The sequence below is a fragment of the Homo sapiens genome, chromosome 16, assembly GCF_000001405.40.
Source record: "Homo sapiens chromosome 16, GRCh38.p14 Primary Assembly".
Classification (NCBI taxonomy): Eukaryota; Metazoa; Chordata; class Mammalia; order Primates; family Hominidae; genus Homo; species Homo sapiens.
Window position 1 is genome coordinate 50,378,660 of NC_000016.10, and position 20,514 is coordinate 50,399,173.

The following is a 20,514-nucleotide window of genomic DNA, read 5'->3' on the forward strand; positions in this document are numbered from 1 at the left end:
CTCTCTCTGGTCTACTTCCTTCTGCCCTGGTCCCATCCTCAGACAGGCTCCATTGGCCTCTAGAAGCTCCCAGATGATATCCTCATAGATCCCAGTCCAGAAAAAAAGGGAATGTGCCTTTCCCCAGTGGCCCATCAAAAGTCACAGGGCTATGTGATTGGACTGGTTTATATCATGTACCCACCTAGAGCCTATGACCATGAAGGGGTGGGATGTGGGTGGAGGGTGGTCAAGGTGGTGGCAGAATTCAGGGACAAGTGAATCCTAGACCATGGGTCTTCTAACCCAGGAGCTTGGGAGGGAGACGAGTGCCACCTAAACCACATGGCCTAAGTAAGTTGGGATCCCTTAGAAAAATTAGGGTACTGTGACCAGAGGATTGGAGAATGGATGCTGTACCCAAAGTAACCAAGCATTAAACAAAACAAAACAAAACAAAACAAAACAAAACAAACACCTGTTTCTAAACTCAGTTTCTCTACCTGCCTTGAGAATGAGCAGGTTGTGAGGGCCCAATGAGAGGAGGAAGTAAATGATGAGCACTGTTACCTGTTACTTGGAGCCCTATTACTGAGGGGAGCCCCGAGCCCAATTACTCAGAGCCCTGTTACTTGGCGCTGACAGGAGCCCCGAGGCACCTTGCTGCTAACAAACATAACACGCTTCACAAAATGTTCACCCTGTCCCCCATGAGACTGGTCACTGATAAAGAACTGGTAGAAAGGTTCTTTCCTACAAATCCAATTCCAGTCGGCTTGGCTGATGCTTGGCCTGCTCCTCAGAGAGGCAAACATGCCCATTTGCTGGGGAAATGCAACCCAGGGGCGTTTTCTCCTCCTCTCTCTACTGTGATCTTGCCTTTCAGAGCCAGTAGGGGTTCAGACTTGGAGTTGCTGACATTGTCAGCCCCGGAAGAAAAGTTGTGAGGCTCAGCCAGATCTATTTATGCCAGATTTTACAACATCATTGAATTATTTGCACTCAGAACTGCTGATGTTCTGTTGTTATTGTTGTTTAAGTCTACACATAGGCATTTTGGAAGGCACCAATGAATGGGCATCTCTTTATAGTTTCTGAGGCAGAAAAAGGAAAAACTTTTTTCTCCCCTTTATTTAGGAGAAAAGTGAGTGGAGTGGGGAATACAGCCTTCTCCTTCCTGCCTGCCTGTCCCTCTTTCACCTGGGGTAAAATCTGCTTCTGAAAGCCTCCCCAGAGCCCGCTATGAGGAAGGAATAGCCCCTCATCTGTGCACCCTGGCTATTGACTCAGCAAGAGCTGCCATATTTCCTGGCTTCCACTCTGCTCCGCCATAAATCCACTTTCCCCACCACAGCCAGAGTGACTTTGAAATACACAGATTTCCGGGCCAGGGGCAGTGGCTCACACCTGTAATCCCAGCACTTTGGGAGGCCAAGGTAGGAGGACCAGGAGTTTGAGACCAACCTGGGCAAGATAGTGAGAACCCCATCTCTGTTAAAAACAAAACACATGGATTTTTCTGTGGGTGGTGGTACGTTACAAAAATAAAAACAAAAACATAGATTATAGATTGGATTAGGCCACATCATCGTCCTGTTCATAACCCTTTGGGGGGTCTCCCATCTCAGATCAAGCCCAAGCTTTTTTCCTAAGCCTACAAGGCTCAGTGTAACCTGACCTCGTGCTCTTCTCTGACCCCGATTTCTGCCACTGCCTACTTCTACCCACTAATCTCCAGACATAATTTGCCTAATCTTAGTCCCTTGAACATGCCACACTCTTCCTCCATGCAGGCCTTTCACACATGCTATTCCCTTATTCTGGAATGCTGTTCCCACACTCTTCATATGGCTGGCCTCTTCTCATCTCTCACCACCTCAGAAAGGCAACCCTAAACTGCTCCAACAAGTCCCCTTTTAGTTTCTGTCTTTATTTATATATATATTTTGAGATGGAGTTTTGCTTTTGTCGCCCAGGCTGGAGTTCAGGTGCGAGATCTCAGATCACTGCAACCTCCACTTCCTAGTTTCAAGGGATTCTCCTGCCCCAGCCTCCCGAGTAGCTGAGATTACAGGTGCTCACCACCACACCCAGCTAATTTTTTGTGTTTTTGGTAGAGACGGGGTTTCGCCATGTTGGCCAGGCTGGTCTTGAACTCCTGACCTCAGGTTATCCACCTGCCTCGGCCTCCCAGAGTGCTGGGATTACAGGCGTGAGCCACTGCACCCGGACCTCTTTTAGTTTCTCTTATAGCACCCTGTGGTTTTTCTGTTTCTGATAAAACACATCACATTTGCAATTCCGTATTTATTTGTCTATTGTCTGCCTTCCCATAAGACTGAGAACTTCCTGAGGGCAAGAGCTGAGTCTATTCTGTTTTGTTCACTGGCACTTGACATGTACCTAATACATTTTTGTTGCCCAAATGATTAGACGGTTGAAGTCCTCTCTTGTGGAAGGCAGGACTTCCTTCTGTGTTCTTCCTTCTGGCAGTGACTTATTTCTCCTCCCAGGAGGGGATTGGAGAGAGGAGGTTTTGTCATGCTTCCCTCTGTCCCCCTCAAGGCACTCAACATGGTATTTGGCCCACCATGGGAGCCCAGTGGAGGATGATGAATGAATTCACATTAAATATGTTCTTCCTCTTCCCCCCAACTGCACAGCCAGCTACTCCTGGGAGAGGCATAAATAGTGACCTACAGGCCGGCTGCAGTGGCCCACACCTGTAATCCCAGCACTTTGGGAGGCCTAGGTTGGTGGATTACTGGAGGCCGGGAGTTGGAGATCAGCCTGGCCAACACGGGGAAACTCTGTCTCTACTAAAAATACAAAAATTAGCCAGGCATGGTGGCACATGCCTGTAATCCCAGCTTCTTGGGACGCTGAGGCACAAGAATTGCTTGAACCCTGGAGGTGGGGGTCTCAGTGAGCCAAGATTGTGCCACTGTGCTCCAGTCTGGGCAACAGAGCAAGACCGCCTCAAACAAAAATAAGTGACCTACACCATGAGACTTTGGAGTTGTCAAGCCTTTGCAAAATCTCAAACTCTCTCTTCTACTGATGTGAGTACTGTAGTGCCTGAGAGTCCATTACAACAGAGCAAGGGCAAGGTCTAAGAATCATCTTCCAAGGTCAGCACACCTGGAAGGGGTATTGCCTGAACTGAGCCTGGTAATTTCCTCCTGGGATGGGGAGGGTGGGGAGGGTGGAGAACACAGTGACAGCGCCCCCTGCCCCAGGCTTTCACTTCACCAGATATCCATTAAGCACAGTGATTGTTAGGGTCCACAGGGACTTCAGATACAAACAAGACACAGCCCCTAACCTCAGGAGGCTCAGGGTTTGGTGGAATAGACGCGTGACTTGCCCCCTTTCTGCCGTATGACACTTTGGGCTCGTTACTTGAAAGCCTTGGCTTCCTCATCTGTAAAATGGGGTTATAAATGTACCAATCTCATTGGTGATAATTCATTGAGTTGATGCATAAAAATGCTTAGGACAGGGCCAGGCTCAATAAGGGTGAGTAGTCAGTGTTATTATCTGCCATGCCTCAGGCAAGGTACAGAGTTTCCCCAAGGCTACTTGACCTCTTCCTGTTTACCCTGCCTCCTGGCCAGCTGCCCTCTGGTGGTAACTGTGCAGAGTGGTCGCCTGCCTCTGGCACCTGTCTGATCTGCCCCGGTCCTGCTGACCCCTCCTGTGGGCCTTTTGGTTGTCTGGACTCTTGGTATGTCCCAGGCCTTCCCTTTTTGCTAGGTTTCCAAGGCTGCTCTTCTGCGTCAGCAGGTTTCTCAGGCTTTTCAGACCCAAGTGACCATCTTGGGACATAGGCAGAGAGAAGCCTTGATGTTACTAGTTATTTCTGCCCATTGGGCACCAAATAAACACTTTCTCTAGCAACAGCCTCTTGACTTCCACTTAGAGAGCCTCCTCTCCCCACATGACCTAAGCCTGCCAATGAGAGTGTCACAGCCGCGAGGGCCAGTGAGGATTGGTTCAGGGGTGAGCATGTGACCCAGGCCTGCCAGTGAGAGTATCACAGCTGCCAGGACCAATGATTGGTTCAGAGGTGGGCCTGTGACTGGAATCTGGTTAATGAGAATATCATAGCCCCTGGCTTGGTGATTGGTACAGAGGTGGGCAGGGACTGAGGCTTGGCTTTGGTGGGACCTTTCCATGAAAAGCTTGCTGAGCCAGTGGTATGTCAGTCTGGTGCTTTTGGGGCTTGAGAGGAGGCCCTGCCTGAGAATAAAGCTAATGGTGGAGAAAGCAGAGCCAAGAGCTAGTGGCCTGGTGACAGTAATTGAGTCTCTGGATCCAGCTGAGCCTGAAGTTCATCAACCTCTTACACTTTTCAATCCAAGGGTTGAATAAATTCCCCCTCTGAGTTTTGTGTACTTTGAACTGGATTTCTAGCCCTTGCAACTGAAAGAACATAGGCTGACTTGTGTGTGCATGGACACACACACACACACACACACACACACACACACACACACACACTTCATTCAGTGCCTACTGAGGAGTCCCTCTGCTTAGGGAACTGAGCACTGCCTGTTCCCAGAGCATACAGAGGTGACCAGGACAGTTCCTGACCTCAGGAGTCCCAGGAATGGGGCAACAAGTCCGACTTCTTGCTCAGATACTTTTAAGTGTGGCGGGCCCATTCTCACCAGGGCCAGCTACGTCATTTGTAGGGCTGAGTGCAAAATGAACACGTGGGGTCCTTTGTTCAAAATTATTAAGAATTTCAAGGTAGGAACTCAGAGCATTAATCCAAGTGTGAACCCCTATGTTCATGAGGGAACATATACATGAGGAAACTATCACACAAACCATTATCAAATAGGTCTAATTTAAGGTATTCTGGGGGACAAAGGCTTGGCTCCTTCAAAATAGAATCCTTGGTAGGGACCCAGGTTTGAGTAGTGCTCACCATGGCAGTAGCCTTGAGGGGAGCTGGGAATGATTGGGTGACCATACGATCTGCCTGTGGTCACCAAGGAAGGCTGTTTTGCCTGGAAGGGAAGAAAGCTCCTGGGAACAGAAATCTCAAGACCAGGCATATGGGTGGGTGGGAGCAGAGGGAGGTGGAGTTGGTTGGGATCCTTGTTTTGAAGTGGGAGGCAAACAAAGATGGGCGAGGTCCATGTTTGGTAAAAAGATGGACCAGGAGTCACAAAAGTGTCAGGGAGACCTGGTGGTCTCCTGGTTCTGCAACCAGGCAGACCTGGGGTTGAGTTCCACTTTGGCTGTTTAGTAGCTTAGCGACCTTGGGAAAGTCACTTGACCTCTCTGAGTGCAGTTTCACGGAATGGAAAATAGCAGTGATATTACCCCCAGCAGGTTTGTAGTGAGTACCTAATGGGATAGTGTCTATAAAAAAATCCTTTATAGGCTGGGCAGGAAATCGAGACCATCCTGGCTAACATGGTGAAACCCCGTCTCTACTAAAAATACAAAAAATTAGCTGGGCATGTTGGCATGCACCTGTAGTCCCAGCTACTCGGGAGGCTGAGGCAGAGAATTGCTTGAACCTGGGAGGCAAAGGTTGCAGTGAGTCGAGATCGCGCCACTGCACTCCAGCCTGGGCGACAGAGTGAGACTCCATCTCAAGAAAGAAAAAAAAAATCCTTTATAAGCTATGAAATATGACCAAAATCCATCAGTTCTAAAACTCATCTTTTTTACATTTCATATCTCTAAAATCGGGATAAATCTTATTATCCAAGGTGTGACATATTTAATTGGCAACTTTTCTTTTTCCTTGGTGGCTCATGAAATAATTTGTGTGTGTCACGATCAGTGGCATCTCATTAACAGATCTGCTGAAATGATCGTTGAAACAGCAGTCGTTGGCTTTTCCATCTCCACTGCCACCCTTGCCTGTGTTTCCAGAGAACAGAAATTAGACCTTTTCATCTGTGTCCTCTCGGAGCCTGACATAATGTCTGGCACAGGTCAGTGCTCAATTAATGCTTTAAACCAAAGTTTAAAGTGACTAGCTAAAGGGTTTTGCTGGAAGGGCTTTTGACAAGCTAAACCCAACCCTCTCACCTTCTGATTAATTGCAACTTGGGGCTGAGGCGTGGTCATTTGTGTGTCTTGTTTTCCTGGCCACCCAACTGATGCCTCTTTGTCTTATTTCTGAGAGTTGCTATGGTTCATGCTCTTCGTTTCTATAAGGTACACAGGGAACACACTTACCCCCTCATTCTTCCTGCCCCCTCCACCACTCTTAAGACTGACTCAATTAGCGTGTCACATCCCTCTGGCCTCAGTGATTGGTCCAGGGATGAACATATGACCCAATCAGAACCTTTGAGATACTATGAGATTTTTTTTTGCAGGATGTAGCAGCCCCTGACTGGGCCCCATGCATAGCCTCTTGGTATTTGCCGTTTCCATGCACACGGGCTGAACTTCCAATTGCCCGTCTTTGGGTCTATGCTTGAGTACTCTCTCAGGCTGCTGGGGCCCACTCTGTCCATGTGTGCTGCAGGGGCTAGAAGTCAGGGGGCTAATGGAGCCAAGGAGTTGCCAAGGTAGCCAGGGGAGGCAAGTGAGGTGCGTAGGGTGCAAAATTTGAGGAGTCCTAGTCCCAGCTTTGTGGCAGCCCTCAACCAATGGCTGATGGGAGCTGGTGGATAAATACCCCATTTCTCTGCGAGGTGCATGTTCTACCCTGGCCCTCACAGTTCCCCAGTGGGATTAGGCTCCGGGTGCCCACAGAGATAACTGCATGGTAACATATCTTGTATTGGCTTCCTTCTCCGTGCTGGCTCTCTTCCCCATTCCCTTACCAGTACTTCCTGTGATCACTTCCCAAGGAAACCATTTGTCCTAAAATCGTTGACTAAGGGTCTCCTTCTGAGGGAGCCCAAACCAAGACACTGGAGCCCCTGCTATTGTCTGTGGTTGAGGGCTGACGCCACTGTAGAGGCCAGCAGCTGTCTTGCCAGCTGGAGGGGCAAAGGATGGAGCCAACATGGGGGAGAGCAGAACCGGGAGATGGCAGGTGATATGATTTGACGATGCTCTGCTGCAAGGATCATGCACCACAGTTCAGAAACTTTCTAGACTTCCCCTTGAGCACTCTCTGTGCACCTATGTTTTTTCTCCTACAGCCAGCCATCTTTTCTCTTCTCTCCACTTTCTCCAAAAATGCTATTTTCCGGAACTATTCACTGCTTTCTCTCTCTCAGCTTCTGAGCCCCACTCCACTAAATTGGTCTCCTGGGATTTACCATTCAGGAAATTGTTTGCATGTGGGTAGGGACTTGTAAGGAAAAAAGTAAAAAGGGGTGTCAGTATGTTGGTATGATGGGATGTGGGGTGGGGAGTGTGGTATGTGCATATTTGTGTTTGTACTTCTTGGCACAAACCATAGGTTCATGATCATTGGTACAGCCTTATCTACTGGGAACTCACATGGGAACCCAAAAGAAATGACCGAAGGCCTTCTCCCTTCTGTCACCTCTTTCCACCTCTCAGGAACCTCGTATCTCTCTCATTTCTGCTGTTCTTACATCTCTGTTCTTTCTCTTCCTCTCTGCCTCCTTCCTCTGCTTCAACATGGCCCAAGGTGATCACCCGTAGGCAGAAACCAACTCCAGCTCAAGTTCTCCACAGAGAATCTGATAGGCTCTGCTCAACTGCCAATAAATGAGCTTTCTTGGGCCAGGCCCTATCCTTTGTCCAATCAGCTTTGGACTTGGTGTTGAGGGTGGGGCCCTGGGCAGGATGGCCAGTGAAATATCCTGGATGGCTCCTCCCATCACAGATGCCTGCTCCCAGAGCTGCAGGACAGTGTCTGGGAGGCGGGATGATGACAACGATGACTGAACACTTACTTTAAACCAGGTGTGGATCACACATTGCAGATGTTACGTGTACAGATCTTAAGTGTATAGCTCAATACTTGTATTACTTTTAATTCCCATAGCAAACCCACCATATGGACGAGATTATTATTACCCCCAATGTACGGACATGGAAACTGAGGTATGGCCACTGAAAGCATAACCAGCACTGTATTCTACCCCTGTCACCAAGTCACCTCCAGGGATAGGCATAACCCACTGTGTTCCCAGGCAGCGACAGGGAGACAAACCAGGTGATGTTAACTTCCCCAGTGCATAGGGTGCCAGGTGGAAGCCTGCCAGCCTGGCTCTCCCCTTTTGGCCATCCTTATTCTCCCCCTGGCCCCCTCCTCCTGGCCGCTTGGTACCTTCCTCTCTTTTCCCGGGCAACCCAGCCGCAGATGGAGGCAGACCCTGGGAGTCACCAAGCGGCTTTATGATGTGCAGATGGTGTTTCCGCGGAGCCCCTCGCTTTTCATGTCGGTGGCCTCTGGGAGCTGGGCCAGCCCAGATGTCCCTGATCGTGAGAAAGCCTCCCCTGGCAAGGCTGGTGCAGGATGCCAGTGACGGGGCCTCTGGCCAGTTCTGGTGTGGGTTGTCTGGTGAGGAGCTTGACTGGATGCTCGTGAGGCGGATGCCTCTGTCATTTATGTCCAGCTCTGCGAGTTCAAACGGTGCATCTGTAGAGCCAGGAATATCCCTTCTGAGTCCACAGACAAATGGATAGAGACTTTGCACAGCCAGCTTTTCAAAAGGACCCTACATTGATCTCTTTTTTCCCCCATACATGTTGTTTTATCTGACTCTCAAGCTATCTATGTGCACAGACTGCCTCTCCCATCAGAGGAGGTCCCCTCCTGTGATGGGAACAATCTCACCCCCATCAGTGATAAACTGGGCCAGGATCAGGAGGCATGTGTCTCCTCCATTAGACTAAGAGTTTGCAGTATTAGGGAAAATGGAACTCTGCTCTTTCCTCTCCAAATGGGACTTCCCCAAATCAGGAAAATGTGACCCTGCCATCAGATTGGGAGTTTTCAAGGTTGAGATCGATGAGTCTGTCTCTTTCATCAGGCTGAAAACCCTCCAGGTATGAGATGGGGGTCTCTTCCGTCTGATCAGGAGCTCCCTGAGAGTGGGGATGATGGCTGCTTTTCATCTCTCTCCTCCCAGAGTGCTCAGACAAGGCTCAGAGGATGTCGAGAGCTGAAAAGAGTCCTGCTGACCATCCTAGGGGCGGGCAAATTTCAGCCTGGACTCGGAAGACCTGCCCTTGCCCAAAGCACCTGAGGAGAGTGGGATCAGTGTCAGCCACAGCAGGTTCCAGAGAGACACAGGTGAGGAAGACTGTTGTGAGATGTATGGACCCTGGACAGAGTTTGTTTTGTGACCTGCTACATAACCCAACTTCTGGCTCTGGGCTTGGTTCCCAACAAGAGTTCAGTGATGACGAGTGAATAAATGAATGAACGAAGACCTGGTTCCTGTCCTTGAGAAACTCAACTCTTCTAAGGAAGAAATGAAGCCCACTTCTCTTGGGTGCCTCTATGTGTTGGACATAATTTTAGGTTCTCTCACGTACATCACAGAATCTTCAAAACCAGCCTAGAGGAGGTTGAAGTGAGCTGAAATTGTGCCATTGCACTCAGCCTGGGTGACAAGAGCAAGACTGTTAAAAACAAACAAAAACCAGCCTAGAGAATAAATTTTATTTTTTCAACTTTATAGATAAAGAAACTGGGGCTTAGAGAGGCAAAGTGACCTGTCCAAAGTCTCATAGCTATTGAATAAGGGAACTGACATTTGAACTGAGGTCCTTCCACTTCCAGTGTGCGCTCTTCCTGGAAACATTATTATCATTTGATTTCAGAGCTACGCAAGACAGATATGGATGAAGTGGCACATGAGCTGGGAGTGGTATGTGAGAAGGAAGCTCAGAAAGGCTTCACAGGAGTAACATTGGAGATGTGTTTTGAAGGATCAGTAGGAGTTCACCAGACTGAGAAGATGTGGAGGCATGGTTAGAAAAGGAGGGGCAAATTGTCTACCTGGAAGGTTCCCTGTAGGGGTTGGTGGGCAGGCTGCCCCCTCCCACATGTGCTCTGTGGCACTGCCTCTCTGTGGAGCTGGACTTCCTCTCCCTTTTTGGGAGGACAACAGATGGAAGCCTCATCTTATGCTGGCACAGCCTCATCTCATGCTGGCACATTGCTGCCAAGAGGCCAGGAAATCTCTGTTGTGGGCCTCCTACCCTGGTGGCAGAGCCAACTGTGCTTCTGGAAGGAAAGAAAGGTGGGTTGGGATCAGCTGTGATGAGAAGTTTCCCCTTTGAGTCCTCTGAAGAAGATAGCATAGAGGAGGAGCCGAGACCCTGGTCTTGGATCTGGCCAGAGAAAGATGGGGTTGGGCAAGTTGTCTCCAAGGGCTGTGACCAGAGGCCCTCTCTCTCTGGCTTAGAAAGCAGCTGGAGACTTATTATATCCCCTGGGGGTGTGAACGTCCTTTAGAAATCTTTTCTGGGCCTGGTGTTTGAGGACAGGCAGGTATTATATTTTTCTGGGGTGGGAGGGCAGAACAGATTTTCCACAGATTCTTGGTTTTTGATCGATGGTTAGACTTTGTGAATTCATTATTTTGCTGAAACTGAGTAGAATGAAGTCCAGCTCTTATTGAGCTCATCAGGGTCCGATTAGAATCACAGGTTCAAGGAGGTCAGAAGGAACGAGCAGAGGCCCTCAAGGCCTGTGGCTTTTAAATTGTATGTGTGTTTTAATAAGCAGATACTTAAAAAAAGCCTGGAGATCTTATTCTGAAGCTCAGTGTGTGTAGCAGATACAAGCAGAGCAGCTGTTTGCAGTGAAGTGGGGAACTTAAAGACCACCTACTCAGGCCAGGGGCAGGGCTCACACCTGTAATCCCAACAATTTGGAAGGCTAAGGTGGGAGAGTCCCTTGAGCCCAGGAGTTCAAGATCAGCCTGGGCAACAGCGAGACTTCATCTTTACAAAAAAATTAAAATTTCTCTTGGTATGGTAGCATGCACCTGTAGTCCCAGCTACTTGGGAGGCTGAGATAGGAGGATTGCTTGAGCCTGGGAAGTTGACACTGCAGTAAGTTATGATTGCACCACTGCACTTTAGCCTGGGTGACAGAACAAGACCCTGTCTCACAAAAAAAAAAAAAAAAAAAAGAAAAGAAAAGAAAGAAGAAAAAAAGACTACTTGCTCAGCTTCTTTTATTTTTTACCAAAAAATTTTTTTATTAAAAAAAAATAGAAATGGGGTCTTGCTATGTTGCCTAGGCTGTTACCCAGGCTGGTCTCAAACTCCTGGGCTCAAGTGATCCTCCTGCCTCGGCCTCCCAAAGTGCTGGGATTACAGGTGTGAACCACAGGCCCAGCCACTCAGCTTCTTTTGACTCCACCTCTGTCCCTTTGGGGGTGTTCATGGAGCCCCAGTTCTTCCCAGCATGCCAGTATCTCTGGCCACCTCTTACCCTTGAATTCTACTGGGGCTGAGTCCCTGAGAGGGGAATGATTTACTTGCGGTTGCATCAGCAAGTGGTTATGTGGGATGGTATCCCCCAAATCCCTGCACTGAACTCAGTGTGGGAGGGACTGTCCAGCTGCAGCACTGGCTCTGACGCCACCTCCTCCAGGCTTCCCGCTCAGGCCCGGGGTGCACTCAGGATCCAAGGCTTTGGGCTCCAGGCTTTGCCACCCAACAGGATAAGGGAAACTCCACCCATAGGTTAAGTCCTGTCCCTTCTGCAGGAAGGCAAGCTGAGGCCCAGAGACTGCCAGGTTCCAGGTTATGTTAACTCTGACCCATTAACGCAGAACTGGGCCAGAGCTGCCCAGGGGTCTGTGGCTCCAGGATCTTTGCTGGTCCAAGACTCAGTTGTCTGAGGGAGACCCTCCCCTGGAACCTGGCAAACAGCCATCTGCCCAGGCCTTGCCCAGCTGGGGGCTGTGAGAAGCAGGTTCTGATACCGAAGCTGCCAGGGCATTACTAATGGGCTGTCGGCTGTAATCAGGGCAGCAGCCTTTCATCTCCTGCCATCCCCTCCTGCTCAGGGCAGCCTCGCACCAGCTTCCTCTCCTGGCTCTGTCTGTCTGTCTGGGTCTGGGGCCGCTCCGGAGCTGGGACCCAGGCAGGGGCTGGAGGGAGGAGGCCTCGCTGGAAACCGCTGCCGAGGCCTGGGCTCTGTGTCCAATTGTGGAGTTTCCGGGGGCCCGCAGGCCATCCCAGGGCCCCCGCCAGGTGAGGCTGGGCCCCTCTCTGAGCCTCGGCCTGGAAAGCTCCATCCACTCCAGTCAGGCCCGCCTGAGATTACCTAGGTGTTCTGGTGACTTCTGAGGGCCTCGCATGAAAGATAACGCCCAAATCAACAAATCTGCCATTGTGGCTTTGAAGAGACTGTTTCAATCACTTTATTTTGTCTTTATGTCAGGTTTGCCAGATGGCTTGGGTCTTTCTGAGGTCCTGTACCGAGGGGGCACAGAGAGAACTGGTGCAGCTTCAAAGCTCCTTTTTAATCTTTAGCAACATCACAGCGGCTGGGAAACTGCCTCGGCTCCCTCAAGTCTCTCCCACAAAAGAGGCGCGGCCGAGGCTCTAATGAAAGCCAGATAAAGGGATGGCTGGAATCAGAAACAGAGGGAAAAGAGCAGTCGTTAGTCTTTCTTGTAGCTGTTTCAAAAGAAATTCTAAGACAAATTATGGCTTTGGGTGTTTTTCTAAAAGGACTGCAGCAGGGAGAGGAGGTGGGGGAGGTGCTTTGACCCCTCAGCACCCTTCCCCTTGCATGAAAGGCAGAGGAGACTGAAAAAAGGCTGAAATACAACAATAAACTTTCTGCTTGTGCGCGTGGGGATGAAAGGCGCGCTGGCATAATTATGGGCGAGGGTGCGCGGGGGCGGGCGGGCGGCTTTACCTTGCCGCCAGCGCTATTAATGATGAGGCTCCCTCTTTTTCTTCTCTAGAAGGGGTGCCTTTGGTTTTCGGGAATGGGGTGGGGCACCGTGCGCCGAGGCTGACATTTGGCGCAGGTGGTGGGGATGCGATGCATTGCTCAGTGCAGAGGTGCTTGGGAGCCACAGCGCCCTCGTGGCTGCCAAGGCCCTGTCATCGTGAGAAGGAGGCAGATGTACCGGTGGGTCATCCTGCCTCCCTTTCGCCCTCCTTTAAGGTCTCAAGGTCTGTCTCTTGGGCCCTGGGGAGGGTTGGGGGGGCGGGGGCGTTCTGACCCCTAATTCTAGCTCCACATGGGTCAGTCCTATTCTGGGAGAGTTAGAGGGGTTCCCACCTGTCCTCTTCCATTGCACACGCTGTCTTAAATCCACACTGTCAGCCCAAATGTCAGGCCCTACCAGTGCTGCTGAGATCTCATGGTGTGCCGGGCTATCCTTACCTCCTATCTCACCTTGGGCCATCTTAGTTTCCATGGATGTTGGTCAGCTACTTGGCAAGATCTTGTGGGCATGGGACAGCTAAGGTTTGATAGGCAGGCAGGGAAGAGGTGGGGAAGCTGGACAGCATTCAGGGGCTTCACGGGAGGGACAGGGTGGATAGCGTGGGAGTCCCTGAGTAGCACCCCTGGGAAGGCACCTCTGATTCTGAAGGTGATGGCCCACAGAGTCACAAGGCCGCTGTATTAGTCCATTTTCATGCTGCTGATAAAGACATACCCGAGGCTAGGTAATTTTTAAAGAAAAAGAGGCTTAATGGACTCACAGTTCCACGTGGCTGGGGAGGCCTCACAATCACGGTGGAAGGTGAAAGGCATGTCTTGCATGGCAGCAGACGAGAGAGAATGAGAGCCAAGTGAAAGGGGAGACCCCTTATAAAACCATCAGATCTCATGAGACTTATTCACTACCATGAGAACAGTGTGGGGGAAACTGCCCCCATGATTCAATTATCTCTCATGGGGTCCCTCCCACAACACATGTGAATTATGGGAGCTACAATTCAAGGTAAGATTTGGGTGGGGACACAGCCAAACCCTATGAGCCACAGAATGCCAGCCCTGGAAGGGCCCCTTGCTGTACAGATGGCAGATGAGGTCTCAGGAGGGAAGGATTTAACCAAGGTCACAGGGCTGGTTTAGGGACACAGTAAGATCTCAAGCCCATGTCCACTAAAGCAAGCAGATATTCTGAGAGAAGGCGGGTCCCATGTGATGTGGGTCAGAAGAGCGTTGAGCTCCTGCGGGGAGGGATGGACAGGGTCAGGCGTGCTCCCCCATGTTTTGGGGACCTCTCACTGTCCCCAGGACCTTTCACTGTCCCCCGGACCTCTCATTTCTACTTTGCAGGGCTCAGTGGCTGCAGGCTTTGGCCTTTGGAGCTTTGGCCAAGAGATCAGGGGGATTCTGGGGCTTTCTGAGCATCAGGACCATCATTTGGGGTGAGGTCAAGTGGAAGGCATTATGGATCCTTCCTTCCTTTTCTTTTCTTTTTTACTTCTTTTATTCTTCTTTCTCTCTCTTTTCTTTTTTTCTTTTCTTTCTTTCTTTCTTTCTTTCTTTCTTTCTTTCTTTCTTTCTTTCTTTCCTTCTTTCTTTCTTTCCTTCCTTCCTTCCCTCCTTCCTTCTTAATCTCTCTCTCGCTCTCTTTTCTTTATTTTCCCTCCCTCCCTCCCTCCCTTCCTTCTTTTCTTCCTTCCTTCCTTCCTTCCTTTCTTCCTTCCTTTTCATATTAATAATAATGATAGTAATAATATGGGCCTAACCCTGACCCCCATACCCTGCCCCATGGGCATCTGTCCTCCCTCACTTTGCCCCGGAGCCTCTTTCCCTGCTTAGGAGACTTGAGGAGAATAGAAACTAAAGAAATGTATGCCCAAATTGCTGCCCAACTTTTATTTGCTGGTTCTAAAAGGGTCCTCCTTGTCCCCCTCTTACCCCCAGCCCCAGAGAGGAGAGAGTTACATATGCTGATGGCGAGTGCTGTGGGAGGGCACATGAGGAGGGGGCCCCGTCTGTGTGTCTTCACGCTTTCTGCCTTTGCTCTCTTCCTGTGTGTCTCTGATGTTCTCTGTCTGTCTGTCTCTCCCCTCCTGCCCCTCCCCAGTGGTGTGCTGGCCTGGGGCTCTGGTTTCTATTCCTGGCACTGGGGCCTCTGTGGCCCCCATGCTCTGACGCTCTATGCCACTGCTGCACCTGTGACTGAGCCAGGAGCTTTGGCGGAGGGTTGCCAGGTGAAGACCCCCACGGTGGCTCACTGGAGGGGAGGGGGTGGTGAGGTAGCGAGGGCTGGGCTGTCATATCGATCCTCCTTCCTTGGGGCAAATGGCAGAGCCTGGCAGAAGCTGCTTGCCAGGCCTCTGGGCTGCTTTTATGAAGGAGAATTTGGGAAGATCAGTGGCTGTAACAAAGTGCGGAACAGGCTTCTCCTGCTCCTCTGCATGTCCAGATTATACCAGACACCACCAGGCAGACAGTATTGGGCAGCGGGGAGGGCACAGGCTGTGGGACTGGACACCTAGGGTTTGAATCCCACCTCCTCAACTTTGTAACCAGGAGGAGACTCTGGGCAAGTGTCTTCCCTGTTTGTACCTCACTTTTCTCATCTGTAAAATGGGACTAATAATTGTATTTACCTCGGGGGATTGTCATGAGGAATAAATGAGTTAATACATGTAAAGTACTTAGAATCGTGCCTGTTATACTGTTGCTCAACAGATGTGAGTAATAAGAATAACTGCTGTTATTTCAATATGTATCTTTTCAGGCATCATTATCAGCAACAGCTAAGTTGATAATCCACTGTATGGATCAGAGCTCATGCTTGGGTGTTGGGAGGGTACTGGGGTAAATCTCTTCCTTGCTTTCCTTCATTCATTCATTTTTGTTTTTCTTTCTTTCTTTCTTTTCTTTTCTTTCTTCTTTCTTTCTTTCCCCTTTTCTCTCTTTCTTTCTCTCTCTCTCTCTCTCCCCTTCCTTTCCCTTCCCTTCCCTTCTTTCCCCTCCCCTCCCCTCCCCTTCCTTCTCCTTTTTTTCTTGTCTTCTGGCAACAGACCCTTCTTTCCCAGGGGTGCCCAGTCCGTGTAGTTCTGAGGGTGGGGCTGAGCCTGCCATGCATGTGCTGCACAGATCTGACCAGTCAGAGAACTGTATTCCTTGGGCCACAGTGATTGGCTCAGGGACAATCATGTGACACAAGGCAGCCAGAGTTCTCCCCAGAATTTTGCTGCCCTAGTGTTAGCGAAGACAGCTTTCCATCCTCTGAGATCCCCAGTTCTAAGGGTGTTGTAAGCTGGAGTCACTAGAAGCCCACCTTCTCCAGCTACATGAAGGAAGCTATCAACAGTAGAAGAAAATGAGGCCATTATGTCAAAAAAGGCAGAAATAAGACATGGAGTGGGGGTGGTGGGGGGAGAGAGAGAAAGAGAGAGAGAGAGAGAGAGAAATGTGATACCTTAATTACCTACCTTAAGTGTAGCCATGCCTACAACTCTCGTGCTGTATGTGCTTCTGACTGAGTCAATTACCTTTGCTTTTATAAAGATCCGAGTTTGGTTTCTTGCAATCAAAAGAGTCCTGATCAATATGGAAGCTGACTTGGTTACCAAGGGTGCCTGCTGTTGTGTTGACATCACCCTCACTCATAGGGGCTCAGTCTCTTTCATAGATGAACTGCACCATGAGAAAAGGGCTGAGGACCAGGTGGTGAAGGGGCAGGAGTATTTGCCTTGGAGGATTGGAGCTGGTGTGCATTCAGCAGAAATGAGCCTTCCTTGGAGTAGTAGCCATCCAGCTGGGCTTGATTTCAGGGACTTGGAGAAGTGGAGGTGGGAGTTGGTGAGCATTCCAGAAGAAGGGCACAGCATGAGGGAAAGGCTTAAAGTAGAGGAAATGTAAGGTGTATTGAAAGAACAGCAGCTAGTCTTGATTGGCTGAATTGTCAGGCAAATGAGTGATGGAAAGCTGAAGGTGATGAGGCTGGAGAATTATGCTGGAGTCAGAGCATGGACTACAGGAGAGTCAGAGCATGGAGGTTTTGAGTTTCAGGTCTAGGATCTTGGATTTTGTGGCCTAGACAATAGGGAACCATGCAAGTGTTTTGTTTTGTTTTTTTTTGGTGGAAGTTGAAAGATTCAGAGCTGTGTAGTAGATTGTTAAAATGGGGAGGTGAGGCTGGGCCTATAGTCCCAACACTTTTGAAGGCCGAGGCGGGAGGATTGCTTGAGGCCAGAAGTTTGAAACCAGCCTGAGTAACATAGCCAGACCCTGTCTCTAGAAAAGAAAAATAAAAAAATTAGTTAGACTACAGTTTTATCTGTAGTCTGGCACTACAGATAAAAAATTAGTATCTGTAGTCCCAGATACACAGCAGGCTGAGGTGGGAGGATTGCTTGAGCCCAGGACTCCAATGCTACAGTAAGCCGTGATCGTGCCATTGCACTCCAGCCTGGGCTACAGAGTGAGATCTTGTCTCTAAAGGGACACTTCCGGCAGGAAGTGAATCTGGACCTTCTAGGGCCCAAAGTGGCAGAATGAAGTCACACAGGCAAAAACAGAGTCAGAGATAGAGAAGTGAGACCAAGTCCTGAGGCCATGATTGGAGCCCCTGAATCAGACACACCCTAGCCATTTCAGGTACCTGGGACTATGAAATTGAATTGAGTTTTCTATAACCTGCACACAAGAGTCCTGAGCGTATGCAGCTGCAGCAGCAAGTAAGCAACTGACTAGCTCTGTGTGGGCCTGCGTGCTCTCAGAGGAAAGGGAGGAGCAAAAAAGGAAGCAGTGGGCAGGTCCTGAGTACCTGAGAGGTTGGTGATACAGCTAGCAGGGACTGGGCTTATGGGAGAAGAAGCCATTTTTGTGGGGAAGTGCAGAATCTGAAATATCGGCATGAACCAAAGGTGGCTGGCCATTTCTCCACCGTCAGGAGAAAGAAGTGCATTCCAAGACATTTTGTTGAGGACTCGGCCAACTAGCAGAACCCATCCTGGGCCAGAGTTGGCTTCACTCAGTGGAGCCTAGGCATAGAGCAGGACCAGACACTGGCTCTGAGGCCCATGGTTTACCGACTGTATTAGTCAGGGTTCCCTAGAAGGACAGAACTAATAGGATAGATGTATATATGAAAGGGAGTTTATTAAGGAGTATTGACTCACACGATCACAAGGTGAAGTCCCACAGTAGGCTATCTGCAAGCTGAGGAGCAAGGAAGCCAGTCCAAGTCCCAAAACCTCAAAAATAGGGAAGCCGACAGGGCAGCCTTCAGTCTGTGGCTGAAGGCCCTAGAGCCCCTGGCGAACCACTGGTGTAAATCCAAGAGTCCAAAAGCTGAAGAACTTGGAGTCCAATGTTTGAGGGCAGGAAGCACCCAGCACGGGAGAAAGATGGCCGGAAGACTCAGCCAGTCTAGCATTTCCACATTCTTCTGCTTGATTTTATTCTAGCCACACTGGCAGCTGATTAGACCCACCCAGATTGAGGGTGGGTCTGCCTCTCCCAATCCACTGACTCAAATGTTAATCTCCTTTGGCAACACCCTCACAGACACACCCAGGAACAAAACTTTTCATCCTTCAATCTGATCGAGTTGACACTCAATATTAACCATCAGGCCGACTATTCATCAATCAGCATTGTGGCAATGTTCAGCAATGTTTTTCTTTCTGCTTTGCGCAGAGTTCTCTGGGAAGTTAAAGGAACTAGAAACTTTCTTCCTCATAACCGACTGGTAAGGTGAGTTGAGGATTGAGCAGGCTGAGGAGCAGAGTTTACACCCTGCCTCTGCTATACTCTGTCTTCGTGCTCTTGGGCAAATTACTTAGTTGCTTGAAAGATGAATCAGAGATTACCAGGTGGAGGTGATTCAGGGAGCATTCAGGCAGGAGGACTGGCCAGTGGCTAAGGGAAGAGAAGCCCCAGGGGGTGGTGGGTGAGTCATGGGCTCTGATGTCAGTTGGATCTGGGTTCTCATACTGGTTCAAGTGCATGCCCTTAAAACAAGTCCTTCAGCCTCTCTCTCTCAGCTTGCTCACCTAAAAAGTGGACCCAATGATCTCTATCTTGTAAGGTTGATATGAAGATTACTGGAGTAACTTTCCTATAAAGTGCCTGGCACATAATTGATGTTGCATAAATGATTGATTTGGGCCAGGCGTGGTGGCTCATGCCTGTGATCCCAGCACTTTGGGATATCACTTAAGGCCAGAAGTTCGAGACCAGACTTGGGAACTTAGTGAGACCCCCCATCTCAATTAAAAATATTTTAAAGAATGATTGTTTTGCCATTATAAGCCATCTGCAAGCTGAGGAGCAAGGAAGCCAGTCCGAGTCCCAAAACCTCAAAAGAAGGGAAGCCAACAGTGCAGCCTTCAGTCTGTGGCCGAAGGCCTGAGAACCCCTGGCAAACCGCTGGTGTAGATACAAGAGTCCAAAAGCTGAAGAACTTGGAGTCCGATGCTTGAGGACAGGAAGCATTATTTTTTAGTGATTTATTCTGATTCCTCAAGGCACAAAGGCAGTGGAGAAACATGGAGGTGGGTGTATTCATCTGTCTTTATTCAGTTGCACATAAAGGAAACCCAAATAAAACTGGCTTTAGAAGAAACAAAAGGAAGTGGTTGACTCACGTAAGAGTCAAGTACAGAGGTATTAATGGATTTCAGGCATGGCTAGATCTAGGGGCTCAAATAATATCACCAGGATACTGCCTATCTCTCCATCATTTGGCTCTGTTTTCTGTGGCATAGGCTCCTCTCAATGGTGTGCTAGAGCAAATTGTAAAACATTCAGGAATTTTGGGCACCAGTTGGTCATCGTTGGTAGCATGAAACTGGCCATGGTCGGAGTATTTGTATCATGGAAATTGGCAAATGCTATAAATAAGCGCTTTTTTTCTTTTTTTTTTTTGGTGGGAGGAGAGCTTGTTTACCAACACATGACTGCTCCATTCTCAAAAGTCTCTTCCCCTGCCATGGGAAGAAGGCAGCCCGCAGCTACTGGTTGACATCCCACCACCTAGGCTACCACAGTGGAAAGTGAGTATCTCTTTCCCAGAAGTTCCAGGAAATGTCCCAGAGTTGGGTCTCATTGGCCTGGCTTGGATCTCATGCCCATTCGTGACATAGCAACTGAGGCCAGGGTGTGGAGTGTACTGACTGTCTTGTGTCCCTTCTGGAACTGTGAGATGGGGTCAGCTCCACCTGAACCGTGTGGAGTGAGAGTGGGTATAGATGGTTCCCTTTACTGTCACGAGCAACCACAGACCCTGGTGGCACACAAAACAGGAAATGTTTATTGTTCACACATCTGCAGGTTGGCTGGAGGGTCTGCTCCAGGCTGGGCTTGTCTGGGGTAGTTAGTGGGGACAGCTCTGCTCTTCTCTCTCCTTCTCCTTCGGGGACCAACTGACCAACCCAGATTGTTCACCTTCTGGTGACAGCAGAGTCACAACACAGCAAGAAGGAACAGCGATGTACTTGCAAGGCCTAGGGATAGACTAGCACACCGTTACTTCCGCCTCATTCCGTTGACCAAAGCACGTTACAAGACTGAGGCTGGGATATAAACTTTGCTTCTTCTTCTCCTTGTTTTTTTTTTTTTTTGTTTTGTTTTTTGTTTTTTTTTTTTTTGAGGTGGAGTCTCGCTCTGTCACCCAGGCTGTAGTGCAGTGGCGCGATCTTGGCTCACTGCAACCTCTGCCTCCC

At 49.4% G+C, this 20,514-nt stretch overlaps 1 long non-coding RNA gene across 1 annotated transcript, besides 2 other annotated features; it reads right to left on the reverse strand.

Moving 5' to 3' along the window:
• Positions 1–12,256: 12,256 nt before the first annotated feature.
• Positions 12,257–16,474, reverse strand: LINC02178 (long intergenic non-protein coding RNA 2178). Its single transcript, NR_146572.1, has 2 exons — positions 16,276–16,474; positions 12,257–12,482 (listed from the first exon to the last, which is right to left on the reverse strand). It is a non-coding gene; the product is annotated as a long intergenic non-protein coding RNA 2178 (long non-coding RNA).
• Positions 17,519–17,648: an enhancer, noted in NCBI's record as "active region_10817". NCBI's record gives its function as "activates an Ori minimal core promoter by ATAC-STARR-seq in GM12878 lymphoblastoid cells {active_cell/tissue: GM12878}" and the evidence as "EXISTENCE:reporter gene assay evidence [ECO:0000049][PMID:35858748]".
• Positions 18,269–19,468: an enhancer, noted in NCBI's record as "CDK7 strongly-dependent group 2 enhancer chr16:50430839-50432038 (GRCh37/hg19 assembly coordinates)". NCBI's record gives its function as "activates an origin of replication core promoter dependent on BRD2, BRD4, P300/CBP, MED14 and CDK7 cofactors, with strong dependence on CDK7, by STARR-seq in HCT116 cells {active_cell/tissue: HCT116}" and the evidence as "EXISTENCE:reporter gene assay evidence [ECO:0000049][PMID:35650434]".